This window comes from Homo sapiens, chromosome 16 (genome assembly GCF_000001405.40).
Source record: "Homo sapiens chromosome 16, GRCh38.p14 Primary Assembly".
Classification (NCBI taxonomy): Eukaryota; Metazoa; Chordata; class Mammalia; order Primates; family Hominidae; genus Homo; species Homo sapiens.
In genome coordinates this window covers 72,108,678-72,134,449 of record NC_000016.10, presented here as the reverse complement: position 1 = coordinate 72,134,449, position 25,772 = coordinate 72,108,678, and the positions used below count along the sequence as shown (strand labels likewise).

At 47.3% G+C, this 25,772-nt stretch overlaps 2 protein-coding genes across 13 annotated transcripts in view, besides 6 other annotated features; one reads left to right on the top strand and one right to left on the bottom strand.

Annotated features, from left to right (window-relative positions):
- Window positions 1-17,793, top strand: part of PMFBP1 (polyamine modulated factor 1 binding protein 1) — a 133,293-nt gene extending 115,500 nt beyond the window's left edge. For 5 of the 9 annotated variants that reach the window (XM_011523361.4, XM_011523358.4, XM_011523357.4 and 2 more), the window contains 12 exons: window positions 1,459-1,717; window positions 3,728-3,917; window positions 4,093-4,237; window positions 5,217-5,384; window positions 5,656-5,793; window positions 8,318-8,482; window positions 9,045-9,212; window positions 9,516-9,683; window positions 10,801-10,904; window positions 11,462-11,536; window positions 14,301-14,599; window positions 17,420-17,793. In XM_011523361.4, coding sequence (XP_011521663.1) covers window positions 1,459-1,717; window positions 3,728-3,917; window positions 4,093-4,237; window positions 5,217-5,384; window positions 5,656-5,793; window positions 8,318-8,482; window positions 9,045-9,212; window positions 9,516-9,683; window positions 10,801-10,904; window positions 11,462-11,536; window positions 14,301-14,599; window positions 17,420-17,547 — 2,007 coding nt within the window. In that variant the 3' untranslated portion in view covers window positions 17,548-17,793. Of the gene's footprint in view, window positions 1-1,458; window positions 1,718-3,727; window positions 3,918-4,092; window positions 4,238-5,216; window positions 5,385-5,655; window positions 5,794-8,317; window positions 8,483-9,044; window positions 9,213-9,515; window positions 9,684-10,800; window positions 10,905-11,461; window positions 11,537-14,300; window positions 14,600-15,095; window positions 15,354-17,419 lie in introns of those variants that run through there. The other 4 variants (XM_047434734.1, XM_047434735.1, NM_001160213.2 and 1 more) reach the window with 4 other exon arrangements.
- Window positions 3,925-4,426: an enhancer, noted in NCBI's record as "H3K4me1 hESC enhancer chr16:72163923-72164424 (GRCh37/hg19 assembly coordinates)". NCBI's record gives its function as "activates a minimal SCP1, AML or CMV promoter by ChIP-STARR-seq in primed H9 embryonic stem cells {active_cell/tissue: H9 hESC(primed)}" and the evidence as "EXISTENCE:reporter gene assay evidence [ECO:0000049][PMID:30033119]".
- Window positions 5,256-6,056: an enhancer, noted in NCBI's record as "NANOG hESC enhancer chr16:72162293-72163093 (GRCh37/hg19 assembly coordinates)". NCBI's record gives its function as "activates a minimal SCP1, AML or CMV promoter by ChIP-STARR-seq in naive H9 embryonic stem cells {active_cell/tissue: H9 hESC(naive)}" and the evidence as "EXISTENCE:reporter gene assay evidence [ECO:0000049][PMID:30033119]".
- Window positions 8,393-8,894: an enhancer, noted in NCBI's record as "H3K27ac hESC enhancer chr16:72159455-72159956 (GRCh37/hg19 assembly coordinates)". NCBI's record gives its function as "activates a minimal SCP1, AML or CMV promoter by ChIP-STARR-seq in naive H9 embryonic stem cells {active_cell/tissue: H9 hESC(naive)}" and the evidence as "EXISTENCE:reporter gene assay evidence [ECO:0000049][PMID:30033119]".
- Window positions 9,439-9,498: an enhancer, noted in NCBI's record as "active region_11093". NCBI's record gives its function as "activates an Ori minimal core promoter by ATAC-STARR-seq in GM12878 lymphoblastoid cells {active_cell/tissue: GM12878}" and the evidence as "EXISTENCE:reporter gene assay evidence [ECO:0000049][PMID:35858748]".
- Window positions 9,509-9,618: an enhancer, noted in NCBI's record as "active region_11092". NCBI's record gives its function as "activates an Ori minimal core promoter by ATAC-STARR-seq in GM12878 lymphoblastoid cells {active_cell/tissue: GM12878}" and the evidence as "EXISTENCE:reporter gene assay evidence [ECO:0000049][PMID:35858748]".
- DHX38 (DEAH-box helicase 38) overlaps window positions 21,538-25,772 on the bottom strand; it is a 19,066-nt gene continuing 14,831 nt past the window's right edge. For 3 of the 4 annotated variants that reach the window (XM_011523484.3, XM_017023913.3, XM_047434985.1), the window contains 5 exons: window positions 25,525-25,650; window positions 24,940-25,035; window positions 23,373-23,494; window positions 21,921-22,037; window positions 21,538-21,825 (listed from right to left, as the gene is read on the bottom strand). In XM_011523484.3, coding sequence (XP_011521786.1) covers window positions 21,953-22,037; window positions 23,373-23,494; window positions 24,940-25,035; window positions 25,525-25,650 — 429 coding nt within the window. In that variant the 3' untranslated portion in view covers window positions 21,538-21,825; window positions 21,921-21,952. Of the gene's footprint in view, window positions 22,038-23,372; window positions 23,495-24,939; window positions 25,036-25,524; window positions 25,651-25,772 lie in introns of all 4 variants that reach the window. The other variant, NM_014003.4, reaches the window with a different exon arrangement.
- Window positions 25,736-25,772: part of an enhancer, noted in NCBI's record as "CDK7 strongly-dependent group 2 enhancer chr16:72141414-72142613 (GRCh37/hg19 assembly coordinates)", that runs on past the window's edge. NCBI's record gives its function as "activates an origin of replication core promoter dependent on BRD2, BRD4, P300/CBP, MED14 and CDK7 cofactors, with strong dependence on CDK7, by STARR-seq in HCT116 cells {active_cell/tissue: HCT116}" and the evidence as "EXISTENCE:reporter gene assay evidence [ECO:0000049][PMID:35650434]".

Here is a 25,772-nt window from a genome sequence, read left to right as displayed (position 1 = left end):
AACTTTGGGAGGCCAAGGTAGGAGGATCACTTGAGCCCAGGAGTCTGAGACCAGCCTGGGCAACATGGCAAGACCCCATCTCTGCAAAAAAATGTTTAAACTAGCTGAGTGTGGTGGCACACCCCTGCAGTCCCAGCTACTCAGGATGTTAGCAGTGGTAGTTATCCATATGGGTCTGTAGCAACCTCAGATCTTGCCTCCTCAGAAGAAAGAATTTGACTGAGGGGCAGAAGGCAGAAGGAGAGACTGAGGCAAGTTTCAGAGCAGGCAGGAGTGAACATTTTTTAAAAGCCTTAGAGCAGTAATGAAAGGAGGGAAAATATACTTGGAAGAGGGCCAAGCAGGCGACTTGAGAGACCAAATGTGCCATTTGACCTCTTGATTGGGGTTTTCTTACTGCAACCTCCCAGGTTCAAGCGATTCTCCTGCCTCAGCCTCCCAAGTAGTTGGGATTACAGGTGCCTGCCACCATGCCTGGCTAACATTTGTATTTTTAGTAGAGATGGTGTTTCACCATGTTGGCCAAGCTAGTCTCTAACTCCTGACTTCAAGTGATCCACCTGCCTCGGCCTGCATACTTCCGGGGTCCTGCATTACTTCTCACCACTCTCCCAACTCCTGAGACCTTACCCAGGAGTCTGCTGATCACCAGTTTCAGGTGTTTTCTATCTATTAGGACCCTGCCTTTCCCTGGCATGGCCGTGACCAATTATTACTTAAAGTGACAATTAACAACCTCCTGACCATCACCTGATGGTCGCCCGACAACCCTGGTGTATGTGGCAGGGGAGCCCTCTCCTGCCCTGCTCACACCTGACTAGCTACCTGCTGTAACAGGGAGACTGAGGTGGGAGGATCGCTTGAGCCTAGGAGGTTATAGCTGCATTGAGCTACGATCGTGCCACTGCACTCCAGCCTGAGCAACAGAGTGAGAGTGCCTCAAAAAGTAAAACTAAACTAAGATAATAAACGGCTGGGTACGGTGGCTCAGACCTGTAATCCCAACACTTCGGGAGGCTGAGGCAGGTGGATTACTTGAAGTCAGGAGTTTGAGACCAGCCGGGCCAACATGGTGAAACCCCGTCTCTAATAAAAATACAAATATTAGCCAGGCGTGGTGGTGGACACCTGTAATCCCAACTACTTGGGAGGCTGAGGCAGGAAAATGGCTTGAACATGGGAGATTGCAGTGAGCCAAGATCATGCTATTGCACTCCAGCCTGGGCGACAGAGAGAGACTCTGTCTCAAAAACAATAACAATAATAATAATTATAAAGACTCCCTCTCTCAACTGCGTGGAGAATAGCCTGAGGGGAACAGGAGTGGAGGCAGGGAGGTTCGTGCAATGTCCAGGCAGGGGATGCCAGTGGCTTGGATGAGGGCTTGAGACAACCTCTCATTGCCTTCACCCACTGCCACTCAGACCTTTCCCAGCATTTGCATTTTGCTGTCTTCAGTTCCTCCAAGAGAAAGATGAGATGCTGCAAGAGCTGGAGAAGAAACTGACACAGGTTCAGAACAGCCTCCTGAAAAAGGAGAAGGAGCTGGAGAAGCAGCAGTGCATGGCCACAGAACTTGAAATGACAGTCAAGGAGGCTAAGCAGGACAAGTCCAAGGAGGCGGAGTGCAAGGCCCTGCAGGCTGAGGTCCAGAAGCTGAAGAACAGTCTCGAAGAGGCCAAGCAGCAGGAGAGGCTGGCTGGTGAGGCCCCTGCAGGTGCTGTCCCACCACACTTTTCTGTGGGGCTAGAGCAGCCCTAGAGCAGCCACCTTCTCTCTCCCAGTGGCCACTTCCCCTCGCCCTCCTCCAGTGTCTCACTGCAGACCTTCTCAGGGCCTCATCCTATACCTCACAGCAGTGGCCACCGCCCTCTTGAATTCCTTCACCCACTCCCAAGCTCACCTGCCCTCTGTAGTCACCCACCCACCATTCTCCCAGCAGTCTTGCCTGAAGACCCTGGCCCTTCCTGGCCACAGGGAGGCAGGGCTCTGTCCTTTGCACCACAATCCTCTCCATCTTCTTCAGGCCCTCATCACACAATTCACTTCACCCTTCCCTGGCTTTTTATTCCCTTTCGCCTTTTTGCCCCCAAATACATTTCTCTTCTGTGCAGCTTGCACTGTGGATGATGTCCTTGTCCCTCCACAGAGCCTGCTTTCTCAGAGGTCACCAATAGCTTCTTCCTTGGGTACAGGGTTTCTCTGGGGGTGATGAAAATGCTCTGGAATTAAATATTGGTGATGGTTGCGTGACTTTGTGATTATCCAAAAAACTACTGAATTGTATACTTTTAAAGGGTGAATTTCCCAGGCACGGTGGCTCAGGCCTATAATCCCAGCACTTTTGGAGGCCAAGGTGGGCGGATCACTTGAGCCCAGGAGTTCAAGACAGCCTGGGCAACATGGCAAAACTTTGTCTCTACAAAACATACAAAAATTAGCCAGGCATGGTGGTGGGCACCTGTAGTCCCAGCTACTTGGGAGGCTGAGGTGGGAGGATCACTTGAGCCTGAGAGGTCAAGGTTGCAGTGAGCTGAGATTACGCCAGTGCACTCCAGACTGGGCAATAGAGTGAGACTCTGTCTCATAAAAAGTGGGGTGGAGGGGCTAAATTTATGTTATATGAATTACTTATCAATTTATAAGATAAGATCCAAGCTTGGCTTCCTTCCTCACCCTCCTTTAATGCTGTGTTCCTTGATGCTGTTGGCTACTTATGCCTCAAAGTTTGTTTCTCAGCTTTGGAGACATCACGGGTCCGTCTTTCTCCCACAAACCTCCCCATTGTTCTCTTTTCTCTCCTGCTCTGACTGTAGTCATCTAGAGACTCTCCTCCCCTTCTTACTCGTTCCTCAGTGAGCTCCCTCCTCTGTGTAGCTCCCTTTCTCTACAGGTAACTCCAAGACTTCAAGCCCCAGCTCTAACTTTGTAGCTGCCTTCCCCTCATACCCAGTGGAGGCAAAGGCGTGGGCTAGAAGGATATTGCTGGAAGTTTTTCTCTATTCTAATGTATTCCAATTTTCCTGAAGCAGTTTTTCTTTTATGTCAGATTCCTGCTCAAGAACCCACTAAACCACATCTAAGCATTTCTCTTAGGCTTCCAAAGTCCTCCAAAGCCCCACTCATCCATCCACTTACTCAACTCTATCGCCCACCATTCCTCCCCACTTCCCTTTCCAGTCAAACTGGTGTCTTCTACCCTCCTCCCACACACCTTCCGCATTCTCCTCACCAGGCATCTGCTCTAACAATCCCCGCCCCTGGAATTCCCTTCCTCCCACTTCTTTTTCTACATCTCAGCTTCTGTTCCTCCACTCATCCATCTCCAAGCGTTCTAACCCATGTGGATCTCTCTTCCTGAGCCTAGTTGGTGCGAGTTTAACATGACAGTGTTCTCTAGGACGGTGGGCCAGTAAGCCTCCCTCAGGAGCCTCTAAACTCCAGAAGGGTCAGGATTTGTCCCCAGTGACAGAATGAGTCGCACAGGAGTTGCTGAGAAATTTCTACCAGTTTGTTTAATTTTAGTCCAGAAGGTGTCCACATCTGAGACAAAGACAGATAATTTAATAGAGCTCTTTAGGACTGATCATGAAATGGAGAGAAATGAGGACAGACTGGGAACTGAAGTAGGGCACAAAATGAAAGGAAAAACTCTTCAGCCAGGCTGATAAGAGTGTGATCTTCATACACCCTCCCTTCTCACATGGCCATCTCCCTGCTTCTGCAGCTCAGCAAGCAGCCCAGTGCAAAGAAGAGGCTGCACTGGCAGGCTGTCACCTGGAGGACACCCAGAGGAAACTGCAGAAGGGTCTCCTCCTGGACAAGCAGAAGGCAGACACCATCCAGGAACTACAGAGAGAACTTCAGATGCTGCAGAAGGAGTCCTCGATGGCTGAGAAGGAACAAACCTCCAACAGGTGCCCAGGCTCAGGCTCCCCTCCAGAGAGAGGTTCTGTCACTCTTGACCCAGCCGGGCCCTCTGTGGGCAGCTGCCCAGGCGTGGGAGAGCAAGGATTTCCCATTGGGTCAGCTCCACAATCTGCCCACATGGGCACTGAAGTCTGTCCTCCTGTGGCTGTTATTTTGCTTTAGAAAACGGGTGGAGGAGCTGTCATTAGAACTCTCTGAAGCCCTGAGGAAGCTTGAAAATTCAGACAAGGAAAAGAGGCAGCTTCAGAAGACAGTGGCTGAGCAGGATATGAAAATGAATGACATGCTTGATCGTATCAAGCACCAGGTATGACGGGCAGGCAGATGGCCCATTCAAGTGCTTGCTCTGCTTAAGATAAAACACAGACTAGGAGCAGTGGCTCACACCTGTAATCTCAGCTCTTTGCGAGGCCAAGGCAGGCAGATCACTTGAGCCCAGGGGTTCCAGACCAGCCTAGGCAACATAGCAAGACCCTGCCTTACAAAAAAAAAAAAAAATACAAACATTATCAGGGCATAATGGCACATTCCTGTAGTCCCAGCTACTTGGGAGGATGAGGTGGGAGGATCCCTTGAGGCTGGGAGATTGAGGCTTCAGTGAGCTGTGATCGCACCACTGCAGTACAGCCTAGGTGACAGAGTGAGACCCTGTCTCAAAAAAAAGAAAAAGATTAAACATATCAGTCATTATTTGGGAAAGATATCACCACCAATCCATGCAAATTAATTGACCAGAATTGTGTTAGTATGCTAAGCCAGCCACTCAGCACCAGCTCCCATTACCAGTAAGAAGCATTTTCAATGGTTAACCTTAAAATTAATCAAATGACAATGTTGTTCTTTCTAGGATTCAAAAGCTATTCTTATCAATTTATTTATTTTTTAAATAGTGCCCAGCAGTAGGAGATAATTGTCAGTCAATTTAAAGTCTTTGATCTCTGAGTTACTCTTTTTGTTCTCTTCTAAGATTTTTTAAACTTCATTCAAAAAGGTTTTTGATAAAGATTTGGAATCTTCCTAATCTTTGGGAAGAATTGGTAAGAAAGTGGGAGAGAAAGCTGGTGCTTAGGAATTAGATCAATAAATAAAATAAATTGGTATATCTGACTGAACAAAGAAAAAATGTTACAGGCGTTGGAGGAAACCTTTTATTTTACATATGCTATATAACTAAGGAATTGTCTTCTTCTTCATCTCAGCCATGCCCTGTGTGCAATTGTCTGTATTTTTCCCCCAAATATAATATAGTCTAAGACAGTCTTTCAGCTCAGTCTTTATTTTTTCAGCACAGGGAGCAAGGCTCCATCAAATGCAAGTTAGAAGAAGATCTTCAGGAGGCCACAAAGCTTCTGGAGGACAAACGGGAGCAGTTGAAGAAGAGCAAAGAGCATGAGAAGCTGATGGAGGGAGAACTTGAAGCTTTGCGGCAGGAATTTAAAAAGAAAGACAAGACGGTGAGTGGGAGAATCCCAGGAGAGCTGGGTCAGGAATCCAGAGCGGGACATGACCCCACCTGGGCCTCCAGGGATGCGGAGGCCCTGGATGCTCAGAGCTTAGGAAAGACGGGAGGGACAGTGGGAAAGGCCAGCGAGGAGGGGAGCGAGAATGCCTGAGCTCCCGCAGGGTGGAGATAGAGCTGGGTGAGAGGGAGGGTGGAGTGGGGCTTTTATAGTTATCTGAGATTAACACCTCTTTGCTGTGCTTTGTTCTTTAATGAGGGAACAGTTGAAAGAGAATTCCAGAAAGTTGGAGGAAGAAAATGAGAATCTCCGAGCAGAGCTACAGTGTTGTTCTACACAACTGGAATCCTCTCTCAACAAATACAACACCAGCCAGCAAGTCATCCAAGACTTGAATAAAGAGGTGAGTAGACAGGAACCCCAAGGGAGTGAGGAATTTGAACCCTGTGACCCTTGACCTGAAATCTGTACCCACCTCTCCTCCACACAGAAATGCAGCTAACTGCTCAGCCAACTGCGGATCCTGGGCCACCTACAGCTCTACTTCCCTCCCCATTGGCACCTGGTTGCTGAGCCAGAGAAATGTTTCTTCCATATGTGGAAGGTCTCATCTCATATCTGGTGGAGCCCCAAGCTATTTGGGCTTTGGCATCAAGTCTTCCAATGTTACATTTTAGACCAGAGTTGAGTGAATCCATTTTGGGGGGCAATTTGCTAGGGAACACTTCCAAAACTTGTCACAAAGCACAAAAAGGAGATGAAAGGGGGGACAGTTATTTTTCATTACACAAGTAAAAATGACAGAAAGGAGTAAATAGCATCTGACATATGCTAAGCACTGTGCTTGAATTCAGTCGTCATTTATTTGTCGTCCACTTAAGCTCTTTACATGGCTTCCATCTGCTTTACTGCCAAAAAGAAAGACATGATAGAGGAAAGAAAGATGGAGGGCCAAAGTCACTGACCAGCAAGTGATGGAATCAACCACTATTTGAACCTGAATTATCCAGCTCTAACACCTGTTCCCTTTCTCCCTCATCATAAGCAGCCATACTTTCTCCAGCTAAATCCATTCCATCTTTCTGGGCAAGAGAAAAATATAACACCTTGGTAGTTGGTCTCTTGGGCTACAAATGAAAGGCCAAGCAGCCCTTATTCCCTCATAATATAAAAATAAATCTTAAAGTAGTATGACTTTTCTAAGTATAAAAATAGCACTGCCCAGTAGAACTTGCTGCCTTTCTGTGATGATGGAAAAGTTGTATGTCTGAGCTGATGGAATGAATGTGAGAGAAAGTGAGGAATCAATGATGACTTCATGAAATTCACCTATAAAACCATCTAGACCTAATACCATTGACAGCAGAGAGAGTAGGTCTTTTATTAGAACTTTTACTAGAACTTCTTGGTTCTATAATTTACATACTTCTATATGTAGATTTTTAGAATCTTTCTCCAAGCTAAACCACTCATGTTAGCAAAAATTTTTAAAGCTTCCATTTTAGCTTCTAGCTTCACTGTAATTTTTTTTCACCATCCTCAGTTTTAGTGTCTTACCTCTATACTGACATTTCTCAGTTCAGCCATCATTTATCAAGCATTGACAGTGAATTATAGTTTCTCCAGTGATTCCTCTGGTTTACTGGGCAGACCCTGCTGACTCCATGTTTTTCAGAAGTCCCCAGAAAAGATGCACTTCTGTTTTCAGAAGACCAAATTATTTCATCTTTAGGAATAGTTTCACCACCAGGGCATGTAAAATATGGTGTCAGAAGTCCAATTTACCACTTTTCATCTCACTAATTCCCAGGGCCAGAGGTACTCAAAATTGTATCTGAAAAAGTAATAAACTTGAAGCACTGATCAGTTACTGGAGATAAAACAAGAAAACCCAAAAGAATGTGTTTCTGTGTGCATGGCCACTTTCAGATGCAGGTGTGCTAGAATACCAAAGAATACAAGTCAGGCATATGAATTTCTGAGGTCTCCCTCTGGCTTCCAGACTCAGAAGCAGATCTCTGTCCTGTACTTAAAGTATATAAGAAGGCTAGTTTCTGTGTGTGTCTGTGACAGTAACTCATAGTCGTATAGTAAAACAAAGCCCTTTTTACACATATCACCTCATTTGATCATCATAAAAACTCCACGAAACAGTTAAAATGATTTCAATTTGTGGAAGCAGAAACTGAGGCTAGAGAAATAAGTAAATGATAGAACCTGGACCTCAACCCAGATTTTTCTGACTCCAGATCCCAACTTCCTTTTAACTATACCATGAATACTCATTACGATGTTGAAAACAGACTTCAGTTTTTAAACACACTTCTACCAGAACTACATGTTCCCTAACATGTTGATCAATTGATCCCTAACTCCAAAAATGCAATATTTCACGTGACAGAACAAAGACCATTTTTGAGCATTTCCTGAAACTCTGTCATGTGCCATGCCCTGAGTTACAGCAATGGGGAAACAGCAGGAAACAAAACACAGGCACAGTCCTGCTTTCTGGCACATCAAGTCTAGTGAATTACATCAGGAACTAAGTGAGGCATAAAACACAAAGGACATGTTGTTATCATGTCCACTAACCTCAAATCGGATTCCAGGTCTTTATCAAAGGCTGCAGAGTATGTGAAAGGGACTTTTTTGTGTACTTGGCATATCATGCCCCAGCACCGCTGGTACTCCTGCTGTTTGAGGGAAATGCTAACTAGAAAGAGAGATGTGGCTGAGGGGTGCAAAAGAGCCTGGAAAGACAGCTCTACCTTTTACAGTGGTGAAGTGAAGATGTGAGTGTTAACACGGACTCTGCAGGTTGCTGCAGACAGGAGAGAGCTTGGCTCTTGTTCATTTCCTATAGGCACAGAGAATGCCTCTATGACCCTGACCTGGCACCCTGACAGTTCTGCTCTCCCTCCTTAAAGATAGCCCTTCAGAAGGAGTCCTTAATGAGCCTGCAGGCCCAGCTGGACAAAGCTCTGCAGAAGGAGAAGCACTATCTCCAGACTACCATCACCAAAGAAGCCTATGATGCATTATCCCGGAAGTCAGCCGCCTGCCAGGATGACCTGACACAAGCCCTCGAGAAGGTGAGGCCACACCCTCTAGTCTCCAGGGCTGTTTTCAGGCAAGGAAACGTCAAGGTAGCGGGAGAAGCACAGGAGCCAATTTCCTGCCTATTGACTGTCAATGGGGCCATCTCAAACCCTTGTGTGGGCTGGGATGTCTGTGCAGAGAAGGCCTGCTTCCTCTTTGTGAGGCTTGGAGTTGGGTGGAGGGCGGAGGAAGAGGACAAAGATCAAAACCAAATCTAGCAAGCCTTTCTGCCCATGGGTGACTCGGGGGCAAGGTTTTCCCAAAGTCTGGATTGTCAGGGAAATTCATGCCCCATCCTGTGCTGATCATGGCTGGCCCATCAATTCATGGGATTGGAAAGAGAAGAAATGGAGGGAGTGGGTAGGAAGGAGAAAGCAGGGTGCAGAAAACCAACCACTGTCATTTCCCACCCCTCTCTGGGAGACTAGGCAAGGTGACCGTCCGTGTCACCCTGGGCAGAGGACAGGAAGGGACTGGAACCCTCCTCCATTCAGGACTCAGCAGAGAGGGTCAAAGTCTCTGACAGCCATTCGTCCTCTTTGTCTTTTCCGGAAGCTCAATCACGTGACCTCAGAGACAAAGAGCCTGCAGCAAAGCTTGACACAGACCCAAGAGAAGAAAGCTCAGCTGGAAGAGGAAATCATTGCTTATGAGGAAAGGATGAAAAAGCTCAATACGGAATTAAGAAAACTGCGGGGCTTCCACCAGGAGAGTGAGCTGGAGGTGAGGAGCTGCCAGGGGCTTGGGCTGCCTTCCTGGTAGGGGTCCACAAGGTCACCTCTTGCATCCAGAATTATTTAGCACTAAGTCATTCCCTTGGGCTGCTAGGTTCCCTCCACTTTCTTGGCTCCCTGAACTTCAGACAGAGGCAGCAAAGATCGGAGCATGGGTGCCCTCTGCTGGCCACTGAGAAGAAAATACCCCCAACACGTATCCCAAGGCCCAGGAAGCACCCTCTGGCCTTGTGGGTCCTGCGGTCAGGGAGGCCAGCTGGAGTCCCCCTCCTCACTTTGCTCTCCTGAGTAGGTGCACGCCTTTGACAAGAAGCTAGAGGAGATGAGCTGCCAGGTGCTGCAGTGGCAGAAGCAACACCAGAATGACCTCAAGATGCTGGCAGCCAAAGAGGAGCAGCTCAGGGAGTTCCAGGAGGAGATGGCCGCCTTAAAAGAGAACCTCCTTGAGGACGATAAGGAGGTGGGCATGCCTTGGCTTCTGCGTGCCTCCTCTCAGTGCCTCCAGGCACATCCTATGACCACCCAAATGCCAGACAGCCCTTGGTGGGGGTGGGAGAGCCTGGGAGCAAAGGAAAGGTCACCCCCTCCATTTAGCACAAAGCAAGAGCCACAGCTGCTGGTTCAACCCACCTGTGTTCTTGTGGCTTTGTTGATAGATACTGAGCAGAGCGAAGGCCCCATTCTAGAGAAGAGACTGTCAGGTACACCAGCTACCCCTGACCTAGTCCACTGGGTCCCCTTCCAGAGTACATCCTGACACTTTTGGCAGCCCTGGACCCTACAGTAGAATGGACTAAGTGACCTTCTGGGCTTGTCCCAGGCCCACCTCCCTGAGCAGTGAAGTTCATGGCAGGAGGCCGCAGGACAGCTCAGGTGGCCACTGGGCCTTTGCTCGAATTACAAAGAAGGCATCTTAGGCCGGGCACAGTGGCTCATGCCTGCAGTCCCTACACTTTGGGAGGCCAAGGCAGGAGGACTGCTTGAGTCCAGGAGTTTGAGACCAGCCTGGGCAACATAGCAAGACCTCATCTCTACAATAAGTTTAAATGTTAGCTGAGCATGGTGGCCTATGCTTGTGGTCCCAGCTACTCGGCAGGCTAAGTGGGAGGATAGCTTGAGCCGGGGGGGAGGTTAAGCTGCCATGAGCCGTGATCATGCCACTGCACTCCAGCCTGAATGACAGAGCAAGAGTGTCAAAAAAAAGAAGAGAGAAAAAGAAGGCATCTCTTCCTCTTCCTCCAGATGTTTTTCTTCCATCTGTTGGAAAATTGGCTTAGCATACTTCTTTTTTAGGAGTCACTTTAATGCCTTCACACTGAAAACCGTGATTATAAGTGTACAAATCTACGTGTCTCTGCCATAAATGGTGCCTTCTCAGAGATGTCACCTTTGTGTGAGATGCCACCCGCACAAGCCAGAGGGGGAGGTCTGGTGGCAACTCCACAACTCTGGCCTCGGGTTGGACAGCAGAGTCAAGTTTTCTTTTCCCAGGGAGATAGAAGAGGCCTGACTCGGAAGGAGGGCTGACAGGCCTGTGCTCCCACCTCTGACTGTCTCGTTTTCTTCTTGTACCCAAGCCCTGCTGCCTGCCCCAGTGGTCTGTGCCCAAAGACACCTGTAGGCTCTACCGAGGGAATGATCAGATTATGACCAACTTGGAGCAATGGGCAAAACAGCAGAAGTGAGTATGGGAGGAAAAAGGGAGGCAGGGTCCGAGGCCTGGACTGAGCCGAGGAGCCACATGCGTGCCAAAGATTAGTCACACACACCCCTGCACTCCTGGAAAACAGATCCAGTCTCAGCCCACACCCAAGGGATGGAAATAAGATGGAGAGGAGGGCTCAACCCTTCAGGCAGGCCTGGAAAGCCCTCTGCTGAGCTGGAAACAGCGATGGCAGGAAGGAAGGGGTGCTTTGCTCGGCAGCAAGAAGGAAGGGGGACATTGGCTCAGATATCCTCCTCCCATCCCAGGATCCAGCTTCACTGCCTGGCCCCCTTGAACTCATTCCCTTGAACTCACCTGGGGCTCACAGGATTTTGCATAGGAGTTGAGTTCAGAGAGTCCTCTGAATCCCCAGGTGCTAGGAAGGCCTTAGCTCTGCGGACGGGGTGATGCGTGGGGGACGTGGGATGCAGCAGCAGTCTTGCTGAGAACCCAGCATCCCATTCAGCCAGCTGCACCCTTGCTCGCGGGAGGCTGGCGACTGGCTGCTGTTTTCTCCTGTGATTTTATTACAGGGTCGCCAATGAGAAACTAGGAAACCAGCTCCGAGAGCAGGTGAAATACATTGCCAAGCTGAGTGGCGAAAAGGAGTAAGTCATCTTAAACCACCCTGGCTGCTTCCTGGGAGCTGACAAGAAGGGTCAGCAGGGAGCCAGGGCTGGCTTTAGCCCTTGATAGGGGGATCAGCCCAGGAAAGGCCTGGTGCTTTGGAAAGACCCCCAGGTCTCGAATCTGCATCTATGTGACCTTGGGTATATCACTTGACCTCTCAGGGCCTTAGTTCTCTCACCAAAAATCCAAAGGGAGTTTAGTAGTCTTTTTGCTCCTTCCTGCTCTCATGGTTCTCAGAGGTCAAGGGTGCTAAGCAGGGAACAGGCACTGAAAGGCAGACTGGATTATTTAGGGCAGGGGCTGAGATGCTCTAACAGATCCCAAGTGAAGGAACAAACAAGGAACATCTCTTCATGAAATCATCAGGTGAGCAGGCCAGGTTGGAGGAGCCCTTCTGTTCCACCTGCTCATCTGGGGGCCTGTGGTCTTGCTTCCCCTCATGGTCAAAGCTGGGTCCACTAAGAGGGAGGTATGCGAGGAGTGTTACCAGTTTGAGAATGGAGGTGAAGGTATGAAGGCCTAAAACTGAGATTTTGGAGGTGGCAAAGTAACAAGTAACAACAAGCCTTAGGACAGCGCTTCCCAACCTTTTCTTAGGGAACACTTAGAAAACAACCATGCCTTACGTAACACCATGGATACTATGCAGCTATCAAAAAGAATGAGATCATTTCTTTGTGGGAATATGGATGGAGCTAGAGGCTATTATCCTTAGCAAACTGACACAGGAATAGAAAACCAAGTACCACATGTTCTCACTTGTAAGTGGGAGCTAAATGATGAGAACTTAGGAACACAAAGAAGGAAACAACAGACAATGGGGTCTGTCAGAGGGTGGAGGGTGGGAGGAGGGAGAGGAGCAAACAAGATAACTATTGGGTACTGGGCTTAATTCCTGGGTGATGAAATAAAATGTACAACAAAATCCTGTGACATGAGTTTACCGATGTAACATGTACCCCTGAATCTAAACTAAAAGTGAAAATAAAATAAAAGTGAAAAAGAAAATGACCACAGTTTAGGATCACTTGAGCCCAGGAGTTTAAGACTAGCCTGGACGACAGCAAGGCCCTGTCTGTATAAAAAATTTAAAAATGAGCCTAACCAGGCATGGTGGTGCACACGTACAGTCCCAGCTAATTGGGAGGCTGGGGTGGGAGGATTGCTTGAGCCCAAGAGGTTGAGGCTACAGTGACCTATGTTCACACCACTGCACTCTGGCCTGGGTGACAGAATGAGACCCTGTCTCTAAAAAACGATGAAAGTAACCACATTTGTTTGGCATACTTGTGACAAAGCTGACCAAGCAGTGGCTGCCTCAGAGCCTGCCCCCAAGGGCAGGCAGGCATCTCCAAACACCTGGAATCCATTCGTGGCACCCCAGGTGGAAAGCCCTATTCTAGGCTTTGGCCTTAGGTACATGGCTGAGTTGAAGAGAAGGATGAGACCTTTGGAATAAGGAGGCCAATGAATTGAGAAGTCAGGATGTGGATGAGCTGTATGGGATATTGAAGGCTTTGGGGATGCTGACAGGAGGGAGCCAGAGAGCCGGGAAAGGAGGGCACTGCTGAGACCCCCTCTCCAGACCCACCAGCACTGGGAGTGAGGGGCTACTGGGCGGGGGAAGAGGCGACCTCAAGGTTGGCCAGCTTTGTAGAGAGCAAAAGGGTAGAGCATATGCCCACAGAAGAGGTTGAGGATGAATTCTCTACTTGATTTCCTCTAGAAAAGACCACGAAACTTTTTACTAGGGTGTAAGTAAAAGAAAAGTTGTCAGATTCTCAAGGTAACAGATAACTTCAGTCTTTTTCTTCTATTGTGCCAAGTCCAGGAAGTTCTCTTTCACAAAGAACTCACTCTTGAGTTCTCCTGTTCTTATTTGAAAGAAAACCAACTTTTAATGATGATAGTAGCTCAACTAATACATATTATTTGCTGTGTGTGAGGTACTAAGCGTTGACACATATGAGCTCATTTCATCTTCATAAGACCTCCTGTGTTCAGTATAGTCATGATCCCCATTTATGGATGAGGAAAGAGAGGACCTGGGAAACTAAGTAACTTGCCCCTGGTCTCAAAACTAATAAGTGGCAGAGTCACAATTCCAACGTGGGAAGTCTGGTTTCAGAGCCCACCTTCACCCACTGCCCTCAACATTAGTTTGGAGACACACAACAGTGATAATAAAAGTTGCTATTTATTGAGCCACGGGGAATGCGCTAAATTATCTTTCCTCTCCTCTACGTGGCAGCCTCCATTTCCTAATCTGTAAAATGGGGATGAGTAACTCACCCAAGTTCTTGACAGAGCTGGGATCTCCTGTGCTCCCGACTCTTCAGCAAAGGGGAGCGGAGAGAATGCGGGCTTTGGCATTGGTGCTGGGTGAGAGTGTTTCCAAGGCACGGCCATGAGAACCCGAGGACACATGATCACAGTTGTCCCTACCAGCCTTCTGGCTCTTCAAGTCAAATTTCTATCATTTATCAAACCAGATCCTCGTATGAATCCCATCAGTCAGGCCAGGCCTGACTGTCCCCGTCTGACAGATAAGAAAACAGGCCCAGAGCTGGCAGAGTTGGGCAGGAGTACCAGCTCCTGGTCCACTCAGACCCCAGGCCTGGGCTTCTTTCACAGGACACACGTAGGCTTCCATTTCTACAGAGCATGTGTAACAGGCCGGCTCTGAACAGACCTGGGCATCTGTGCTGTCTTCCCTGTGACACCTTTATCTGTCCTTTCTAGCAGGGAACCAACCAGAGCCAGCAGCCCCAACACAACCCGTCCTTCCTCTCCTTCCCACAGCCACCTCCACAGTGTAATGGTCCACTTGCAGCAGGAAAACAAGAAGCTGAAGAAGGAGATAGAAGAGAAGAAGATGAAAGCCGAGAACACAAGGCTATGCACCAAAGCCCTAGGCCCGAGCAGAACGGAGTCCACACAGAGGGAGAAAGTGTGCGGCACCTTGGGCTGGAAGGGGTTGCCCCAGGATATGGGTCAAAGAATGGACCTCACCAAGTACATCGGGATGCCCCACTGCCCGGGTACGTCTGCCATTTGTCAAAAAAATAAGTGTGATTTTTTTCTTTAAATCACTGGATTGAGAATTCAAGTAGGAAGAAGAAAATAGGCCTTTTGTGGCCTCAAGTCATTTTCTTAGCGACTTTGGACCAAAGATCGTTGTTTTCACATCTGTAAAGGGAGGAGGCAAATTAAGACCCCTTCTGATCTAAGAACATCTGAAGCATACCCAAGTGCCTCACATCTCAGACCTGCCCCCTCCCCTGACCCAGACCCATTTTAGGGAACAGGTAGAAGAGGCATCTTCCTTCTACGTCTGGAAACCCCGTAAGAGCACCCCAGCCACCTACCCAGCCTGGGTCCACAGCCGCCTTTCCTGCCACCTGTAAACTCCATGTTACCCCAGAGGCAAGAAGTCACCCTGCAGCAGAGCTGCCTGGCCATGCGGCCAGCCCTTGAGGAATCACCTCGTTAATTTCTCCTCGAATCAAAACTCTCATTTCCTCCCTGTTCCCTCAGGTTCCTCATACTGCTAGAATCCACATCTAGCCCTGAGCAGCATTTCCACGGGTGTTTCTTCAGAGGACAGTGAGTTCCCAGCCCTCCCTCTCTCTTGACCTGGATCAGCTCTTACAGGAGTATATCACGGTCCCAGCCTATTTTGCAAGACACTAACTTTTGTTGAGTTTTGTCCACTTCCTGCCATGGAGTGAGCTTTAGAACCATACTACCATCTCCAGGCCCAAACTCTGAAATAAAGACATGAGCATGAGCACAGCAGTTGTGGTGAGCTGTTGGCGTCTAGCAGACATTTCTGCCCCGCAATCCCCCAGCAACATGTTCATCCTGTTTTCTCTGAATTCTAAGAGATATTGGTCTCTTCCATATACAGGGAAGCCATAATACCCAATGCAAGCTTCTGGATTCGTTTTTAAACCAACAAAAGTGATAAGTAGCTCCTTTTTTTTTCTTTCCATTACTATCTGAAACTTAAAAAGAGAAAGTCTAAAAACTCCAAAGAGGAAGTAATCCTGAGACCCCAAAGAAAGGAAGAGCAATAAGGGCTGTATTTTCCAAGTGGGGGAGCAAGAGCACGCCACCTGCCCCCCCGCCCACCACCGGGCTCCACATTCCATTCCTCCTTCTAACAATTTTATTTTCCTCCCCAGCCACCTCAATACAAGTGAAATTCCATTATGACAAACTCTAAGGACAGCTAATATTTTATTCTGGTAGGATTTTGTTAAACTGAGTACATGTCTAGAATTTATATTTCTAGTCTATAGGAAGTGGAGACAACTCACTACTAGGGTAATATTAATATAAGGGAAAGAAATGAAAGATCTTACACTTCTGAGGGGGGCAGTAAAAGTGAAGGAAGAAACCCACTGGTTAGCAATGATTCTTCAATATTCTTCCTGGGCCTAATAAAGGCCAAGAAAATTCACTGCTAATAGGAACACTAACATATTACATAGGATGCCCCTGACAGAACTTGGGAAGGGCAGTTCCAGAAATGCAGTGTGAGCTAGGAGTGACAGGCATCTCTGGTAGTTTCTGTTATGATAGTTGTTGTCTGTTTAAGCTCTTTGAACTACGTTCCCCCATGTGGTTTAGAATATGGGTTTGTTTTCTAGAGAAAACAAAGATTGAAAAATCTAGTACTCATCTAGCCTGTGGCTTGCTTTATTCAAACTAAAGTTCAATGCCATTAAAATCCCCAGCCTAGTCTACTAAAAAGGGATTTTATCTCTATAATTTACCAAAATATTTCATATACGTTGGCCAAAATGACAATCTCTGGTTTCTTTGAATGTTGTACATCTTTCCAAAGTTATCTTTCACTTCCTGTGGAGTGATTACACCAGAGCAAAGCAGGTAGTCAGTTATGGAGAGCTAATTGGTAGCAGAGCCAGAAAAACATCGACATATTACCCAGCCATCCGACTGTGACAGCCCAGCTAGGCAGAAGACCTGGCTGAGTACAGGGGATGGACTTAGAGAAGTGCAGTTTCTCTAAAGACAGGAGGAAGGGCAGGGAAACTGAGTGTTGCCTGCCTATAATTTGTTAAGAAATAACCAAGGAATTGAGCTCCTAAAAAGTAGTTCGAACAGCTGATATTAAAAAGAAATGGTTACAACAACACTCTTTTATGAATTTTTTAAAAAGCATTCAACAAATGAGGATTAGAAGGAAACTACCTCAGCAAAATAAAACCACATATGAAAAACCCAGAACAAACATTATACTCAATGGTGAAAGACTAAAAGCTTTTCCTCTAAGATCAGGAATAAGGCAAGAACACCTGCTTTGCCACTTCTATTCAGCATCGTACTGGCAGCTCTAGGCAGAGCAATTAGGAAAAAGAAATAAAAGGGATTCAAACTGGAAAGGAAGAAGTAAAATTATCTCTGTTCACAGATCTTATATGTAAAAAACCCTAAAGACTCTACAGACCACCCCACCCCAAAAAAGAGCCTGGTAGAACTAATAGTGAATTCAGCAAAGTAACAGGATACAAAGTCAACACACAAAAATGAGTTGCAGGTTTATATAACAACAATTAATAATCTGAAAAGGAAATTATAAAAATAATTTCATTTCATTTATAATAGCAAAAAAAATAAACAAATACCTGGGAATTAACCAAGGCAGTAAAAGACTTGTACAATGAAAACTATAAAACATTACTGAGAGAAATTAAAGAAGACATAAACAGAAACACATCCCATGTTCATGGATTGAAAGACTTAATATTAAGATGTCAGTATACACAAAGTGATCTACAGATTCAATGTAATCTCTGTCAAAATCCCAATTTTTTTTTTTTTTTTTTTTGCAGAAATAGGAAAACTCAACCTAAAACTCACATGGAATCTTAAGGGATCCCAACAGCCAAAACAGTCTCAAAAAAGAAGAACAAAGCTGAAGAACTTACTGACTTCAAAACTTACTACAAACCTACAGTAATCAAAATAGTGTGGTACTGCCATATAAATCAAAAGACAGACATACAAACCAATGGAATAGACTAGAAAGAATCCCAGAAATAAACCCTCACATATATGGTCAAATAATTTTGACAACGATGCCAAGACTATGAAATGGGGAAAGGATAGTTTTTGTTTTAGTTTTCCAACAAATGGTGCTGGGAAAACTGAATATTTGCATGCAAAAGAATAAAGCTGTGCCCTTACCTAATACCTTATACAAAAATTAACTCAAAATGGATCAAAGACCTAAATGTAGCCACTGAAACTATAAAACTCATAGAAGAAAACATGGAACAAACCCTTCATGGCACTGGATTTGGCAGTGATTAGTTCACCAAAGGCACAGGCACGAAAAGAAATAATAGACAAATTAGACATCCTGAAACTTTTAAACTTTTGTGCATCAAAAGCAACATCAACAGAGTAAAAAGGCAACCCACAGAATAGGAGAAAATATTTCCAAATCATATCTCTGATGTTAATATCCAGAATATATAGAGAACTCCTAAAACTCAAGAAAACAAACAACCCAGTTCAAAAATGGGCAGAGCATATGCCAAAGAATGAAACTGGACCCCTATCTTTCACCATATATAAAAATTAACTCCAGATGGATTAAAGATTTAAATGTCAGACCTCAGACTATAGAAATTGTTATCGCCTGTAATCCCAGCACTTTGGGAAGCCGAGGCGGGTGGATCACGAGGACAGGAGATCAAGACCATCCTGGCTAACACGGTGAAACCCCGTCTCTACTAAAAAAAAGAAAAAAAATTAGCTGGGCATGGTGGTGGGCGCCTGTAGTCCCAGCTACTAGGGAGGCTGAGGCAGGAGAATGGCATGAACCCGGGAAGCGGAGCTTGCATTGAGCCGAGATCGCACCACTGCACTCCAGCCTGGCAACAGAGTGAGAGTACTACTCAAAAAAAAAAAAAAGAAAGAAAGAAAGAAATCATTATCAGGCCAGGTGTGGTGGCTCACACCTGTAATCCCAGCACTTTGGGAGGCCAAGGCAAGTGGATCACAAAGTCAACAGATCGAGACCATCCTGGCCAACATAGTGAAACCCCGTCTCTACTAAAAATACAAAAATTAGCTGGGCGTGGTGACACACATCTGTAGTCCCAGCTACTTGGGAGGCTGAGGCAGGAGAATCGCTTAAACCCAGGAGGCGGAGGTTGCAGTGAGCCAAGATCAAACCACTGCACTCCAGCCTGGCAACAGAGCAAGACTCTGTCTCAAAAAAAAAAAAAAAAAGAAATCGTTCTCAACATCGGCTTTGGCCAAGAATTTTTGGCTAAGTCAGCAAAAACAATTGCAACGAAAACAAAAATTGCTAGGAGGGACCTAATAAACTAAAGCGCTTCTACACAGCAAAAGAAACTATCAGCAGAATAAACAACCTACAGAGTGGGAGAAAACAGTCACAAACTACACAGCTGACAAAGGCCTAATATCTAGAATCTATAAGGAACTTAAACAAATCAAGCAAAAAACAAATAACCCCATTAAAAAAATGGGCAAAGGACATGAACAGACACTTCTCAAAAGAAGACATACAAGCAGCCAACAAACATATGAAAAAATGCTCATGATCACTAATCACCAGAGAAATGCAAATCAAAACCACAATGAAATACTATCTCACACCAGTCAGAATGGTTATTACTAAAAAGTCAAAAAATAACAGATGCCGGCAAGGCTGGTGAGAAAAGGCGACACTTATATACTGCTGGTGAGAATGTAAATTAGTCCAGCCACTGTGAACAAAGGTTTGAAGGTTTCTCAAAGAACTTAAAATCGACCTACCATTTGACCCAGCAATCCCATGAGTGGGCGTATACCCAAAGGAAAATAAATCATTCTACCAAAAAGACACATGCACTCGCATGTTCATCGCTGCACTATTCACAATAGCAAAGACATGGAATCAACCTAGGTGCCCAGCAATGGTGGACTGGATAAAGGAAATGTACATACACACCATGGGGTACTACACAGCTATAGAAAAGAATGAAATCATGTCCCTTGCAACAACATGGATGCAGCTGGAGGCCATAATCCTAAGCTAATTCTTGCAGGAACAGAAAATCAAATACTACTTCTTCTCACTTATAAGTGGGAGCTAAACATTGAGCACACAGGGACATAAATATAGGAACAATAAACACTGTGGACTACTTGGTTGGGAGGAATAGAGAGAGGGAAATGGGTTGAAAACATACCTGTTGGGTACTATGCTTACTACCTCGGTGATGGGATCCATACCCCAAACCTACCACATCACACAGTATACCCATATAATGAACCTGCACATGTACCCTCAGTATCTAAAATAAAAGTTGAAATTTAAAAATTTTTAAAAAGTTACTAATGCAAAAAAAAAAAAGCGGGGGGGAAGAGGACTTGAGACATTTCTCCAAAGAAGATAAACAAATGACCAATAATAAGCACATGAAAAGATGCTCAACACCACTAAATACTAGGGAAATGCAAATCAAAACTGCAATGAGATACCAGCCATTAGGATGGTTACACTAAAAAAATACAGACAATAACAAGGGTCAGCCAGACTCAGGAGTCCACAACGGGGCCATGGTGCTAGAGACCATGTCATAGGTATGCTTTTGTACCTCTAGAAAAACAATCAGTTGCCATCTGAAGAAAAGACAGTGAGAATCAGAATATTAAAGCTCGAAGGAACTTTAAGGAAGATCGGAATGGAAAGGATCTGTAATTTAAAAAAACACTGGAAACACAGGAAGAGACAGAGCCTTGAGCAGAAGCTCCAGTACCGTGGCAAATTCAGGGGGAGCTGCTGTGGGCAGGGGACCCCTCCATTCCTCTTGTAGCACCCACATGTACCAAGTATCCTTTACCAGGTGTTCCTTGCTTGTAAATACGATGGTTGAGTTGGACCCATTGTTTTAATAGCCTCTCTGACCTTATTTTTTTATCTAAGGGACTTAGTGAGTTTGTGACCAAGGTCACAGCTTATTAATAATAACTGTTAAGTAGAACCTCAATCTTTTTCCTACTCCATTGCCTGATTCTGTAAATAGGTCACACATCAGCCAACTTCTAGTCCTCCAACCTAGGGCCAAGATTAGAATGCTTCCTAGGCAAAGTGCTGGCAGCCCTCTCTTCACTACAGAGCCCTGAGAAGCCCATTTCCACCTGCATTCCCCCAAGGGGGCTAGAGGGAAGAATGGAGGCAGAGGTGGTAGCTGGTGCTGGCTGGCAAAGCTAGGCTTCTGAGCTCACCCACAAAATTGACTTACATTTTAACATTTATTGAGTTATAAAACATGGAAAGGCAAATCCCAGGAACAGAGGGAGAAAGGGATCAGAACAGCACAGCAGGCCACGCACCACAGGGCTCACGCCGGCACTGGCCTGGTATCAAGGTGCTTCCGAGCCCCAATCCTGTCTGTGACTCAACCCCAACACAGAACCTGCCAACCAGCACACCTGGCAGAAGCCCAGCCTGGAGGAATCACAACATATACACCATGGTTAGTGGAAAGGGCCAAACACCCAAAAAGCCACCTCAGCAGACTTAAGAGACTGCTTAAAAAGAGAAAAGACTGGTGATTCTGGTGTAAGGGTCACCTTTTACGTGAAAATCAATAAGCAACATTTTACACTGTTTTTCAGTCAATGGACAACCCTTACCCTCTGCCATCCAGAGCAATCACATGGACCTCTTTCAAGCAGCCAAACCACCCCAGGGAAGGCTGGGGTGGACTCCTGCGCACTTCCCTCCCATGACCTGGCCATCAAGGCAGACCTGCCAGTGCCCCCCAGCCTCAGGAGCAGCTGGGCACCCTCAGAGCTTGGTCTGCCTTGTGCAGAAATAAGGGCAGAGTTCCAGGACGACCCATGCAAAGGAAGTCAGGGCAGGCTTCTGCACCCCCCACCTTTATTACATGATTTAAGAGGGTGAAGGAAAAAGTCAGACATGCAGTCATGTTTTACAAATAATAAATTTATTTCCAAATCCTGAATTATAACCAAATTACAATTCCCTTTAGGTCTTTTTTGCTGCTTTACACAAGGATTAAAAAAGACAGCCACAGCCAAGTCACGCATACACCAAGTGTCCTGGGCCAGTTTTAGATGCGATGGGTCCAGCCACCTCCCGCTGCCCCGGCAGCACCTCGGATACTCTGCAGCCCCGCTCCCGCCATGCCGTGCTCCTGCATGGAAGAACTCCACCTCCTCTGCCAGAGAGTCTGGTCCAGCAGGAACTGCCCTGGGGGGCCGTGATATGCACAGATGAAAGTCCTCAGATGAAAGGGCTTTGTCCGCAGCCTCAGGGCTCCCGCCAGAAGGCTGAGGACCCAATACCTGCTGCCATCCTCTCTGGGGACAGCCTCAGCTCACAGACCAAAGCGGGCTGGCGTGCGGCGAGGGGTCATGGGCTCCCCTTGCTCTTTCCGGCCTGGAGTGTAGATCTTCGTAGACCTGGAGACACAGCAGGAGAGATCAGGAAACACCGTGCCCTCACCCACAGCCAGGAGGGCAGGAGGATGCAGAGCCCCAGGACTTACTGTTCCTAACCCATGGTGGGGAGCTCTGGGCCGAGGGATCTCCTCCCCGGCACATTCTCACTCCTCTGCCGTCCCCATGTTCGACTGGCGATGTAATCAAGGAAGCTCACTCATTCCGATATGCTTTAGATCGGATTTTAACAACTCCTCCCACAGTCCCTAGGGGAGCTACAAAAGCAGCTTCCCTCCACCTCACGTGCGCCACTCCAACTGTGTAGCAGCCTGCCTTTGTCCCCAGTGCCTAGGAGCCAACTCTAAACCCTTGGAATTTCCCAAGTGACTGGAGTGTCTGCTATTCATGGGGGCCCCTCAGCCCTCGTTTGAGAGATTATGCTAATGAGGTGACTCTTGGTGAACCCCTTGAGTTTATCTAACAACATGACTCAAGGCAGGCTGGCCTCTCTGCCCCGGGGTTAGCACTGGTGCTCTGAGCCACGTGCTATCAGCCTCACCTCTGGGGAGGAGGGGGGACTGGAGGCTGAGCTCTACCACATGACAATGATTCAGTCATTCATGCCTAAGTAACAGAACCCCAATGATAAGAACTCTGGACACTGAAGTTCAGGTGAGCTTCCTGGCTAGCAATAACCTGTCATACTGTCATGCATCAGTGTGCCACGGGGGGACGTGGTCCTGAGGACAAACGAGGCTTCGCATTTGAGACCCTCCCAGACCTTGCTCTATGCATCTCTCCTTTTGGCTGGTTCTAATTTGTACCTTTTTGGTATAATAAAGCTATAATGGTAAGTACGGCACTCTCCGGAGTTCTGAAAGTCATTCTAGCAAATACTGAACCTGCAGGGGTCCATGGGGACACCAGTAAGGATGGTGTCTACACCTGCAGCTGGTATCTGAAGTGAGGGCGTTCTCACGGAGGCCTGTGCCTGCGACCTGTCAAGTCTGGCCTAACTCCAGGGACCAGCACAGACGCAGAAGCCCAAGGCGCACTTCTCACCACTGCACTGGGGTTTCCAACCCCCTCGCTCATGAGTAAAGCTGTGAAACCCATCCTGCTACTCCAGGCTGCCTCAGGCCCTGAATCCCTGCAGGTGTACTGTCGCTCCTTTAAAGCTGTCAGGAACTCCTCCCACACATCCATGTGACCACCAAATGCACAAGCAACTTCTGTCACCAGTTTGCCTTCACACATGCACCTTCCCATAAATCCTGACCCTGCATCAGGGCCTGGTCTCTGGCAGCCTCCTGGGATGGGTGCCACCCCAGCCAGAGCCCGAAGGCCGGAGCTCACCTGACACTGCCCAGGGGGCTGCGCTTCTCCTGCTCCTGCCGCCGGGCTCGCAGCTGCTCCTCGGCCAGCGCCATCTCCTCCTCCATGGCAGAGGCTTCCTCTTTGGCCCGACGACGGTTCTCCTATTGAAGAGGGACAGACCTGGCTGAGCCTACTGGGGACCACTAAGGAAGGAGGCCTCGTCGGCACCCAAGTCCCTGCCACAAACCAGGTGCTGCATCCACCAGGCCAGTGCTCCACATGGCTGCCTGCCCCAGTACCAAAGCCGCCTTCTCTTCTGCAGCTGAGGCCTGCTTTTTTCACTGACTCAAGACACTGGACAATCAGTCCTAACTCAGTCATCCCTCAGTCCAGGAAGTACTTACATTTCCTTCTTTTTTGAAAAATCAAGTTCACAACTATGCTAGGAAGTACAGAAAAACAGGGAAGATGTGATTACCTGCTGGCTGGAAGAGACAGGCATAAGATGCAAGGGAGCCTGGTATGGGGAGAATTATGCTACGAAAAGGGGTAAGCCAAAGCCCAGCACCATTTTGCAACCCTAAATATGGATCTAGGCAATGGCCATCAACAGACGCTAAAACCTCAAGATGGAGGAGCAGTGGAAACCTATCAGGGAAGAGGCAGGCTGCCACCACTGGGGCCCCTCATCCATCCTCCCATCAGCAAAGGTGGGGCCACCAGACCTCACATGCCTCCTGAAGGCATCTAAGAGGAGGTTCACAGTGCCACATGCAGGCATCTCTGCCACACGCAGCTCAGCCGGGATCTAATTGAGCGGTTGGACTCATCGCCAGCTTACAGCAAGTGCACGAAACACAGGCACAGGTTAAACACCGCTGTGAGCAAGCAATGAGGCAAATACATCATATGGACTATTCGACAGGACAAATGACCTGGCTGCTCCAATAAATCAATGTCATGAAAAAAAGCGTGGGGTGGAGCCTGTTCTAGAATGAAACAGTTAACACACATAAGCAGTTGCAATGCCTGGATCCTAATTCAAGCAAATCGATCATAAGAAGTTATCTTTGAGATAAATGGAGAAATCCAAATGCGGACTGGAGACTTAGGTGACATTAAGTATTCATTTTTTTATGAGTGATAACGGCACAGAGGTTATATTTAAAATTTTAAGTCCTTTTAGTCAGAGACACATACTCAAGTATTTATGGATGAATAATGTATGAGATAAGCTTTAAAATATTCCAGAAAAAAAAAATGGATGTGTGTGGAGTGGGGTAGGAATAGTGAAATTGAACAAACGTTGACAATTATAGAGGCAAGGCAACGAATTCATGGTGGCCTGTTGTACTGTTTTTCCCACTTTCATGAATATTTGGACTTTTCAATAATGAGTTTTTTGGTTTTGTTTTTAAAGGCTCAGCCTACCAAACAACTGGAGTGGGTGGTGGGGAATCAGACAGACCCAGCCTGCTGGATCACAGCCTTTATGTTTGCAGAGAGAAGTAAGTGGGTTGGATGACCGCAAGTCTTCAATACCAAGCGGAGGGAACACCGACCCCACAGGCAAACAGCACCCCTGCGAAGAGCACAGAATCCTCACCTGCCGTGACTTGCCCGCCTGTTTCACGCTATAGAACATGGGGCCCAGCTCCGCCAGCCACTCCCCGTCCACAGCGGTCACACACTGCATATACTCCTGCGGGCAGAAGGGCAGGGAGGCGAGGGTCACAGGAGGGCCAATGTCCCTCCCAGAGTGGTTCCACAATTAGGAGCCACATGGGAAGGGCCCAATCCCTGGCCCTGCAAGGCTGAAAAAAGGAAAGGAAAAACCCCAGATACTCCCATCCAAACTCCTCCACACTTGAGAAAATGCCCCCAGTATCTAAAAGAAAAGGCCCAACCCCTCCGAAAATCCTTCTAATGACACCAAGAGGGGTTGCTCATCCCAAGCAGCAAGTGGGGAACAATCGTGCCCATGCAGCTGAGGTCAATGCAGTCTAGAGGTCAACCCTGTGCAGAGCTTCCCCAAGTCCCCAAATGAAAACCAACCTCACATGCCCCGCAAAACAATGCATGTGGCCTCAAGGCTCCCAGGCTAAAAGCTCATGCCAGAACGCAGTGAAGGGTTTCAAAGCCTGGCCAGACAGGGGGCCTGCATTATGCAAGTGCCTTGGAAAAGACTCACCTTGGTGGTCATGACCAACTCGTGATACACTATGTAATCTGGGGTGTAGCCCATTCCAAAAAGGGAGCTGGTGGGGTGCAAGTGGCAGGGCATCCCTGTGCGGATGTTCACGTACTCCCCGATTCCCTAGGGAGGAGACACAACAGGCAGCCACATCAGGAAAACAACACCCATTTGGGCAGCGACCCCATCCCTTAACACTCTTGACACAGCCTTTGGCGGAAGCCCAGATCTGCAGAACCACACCA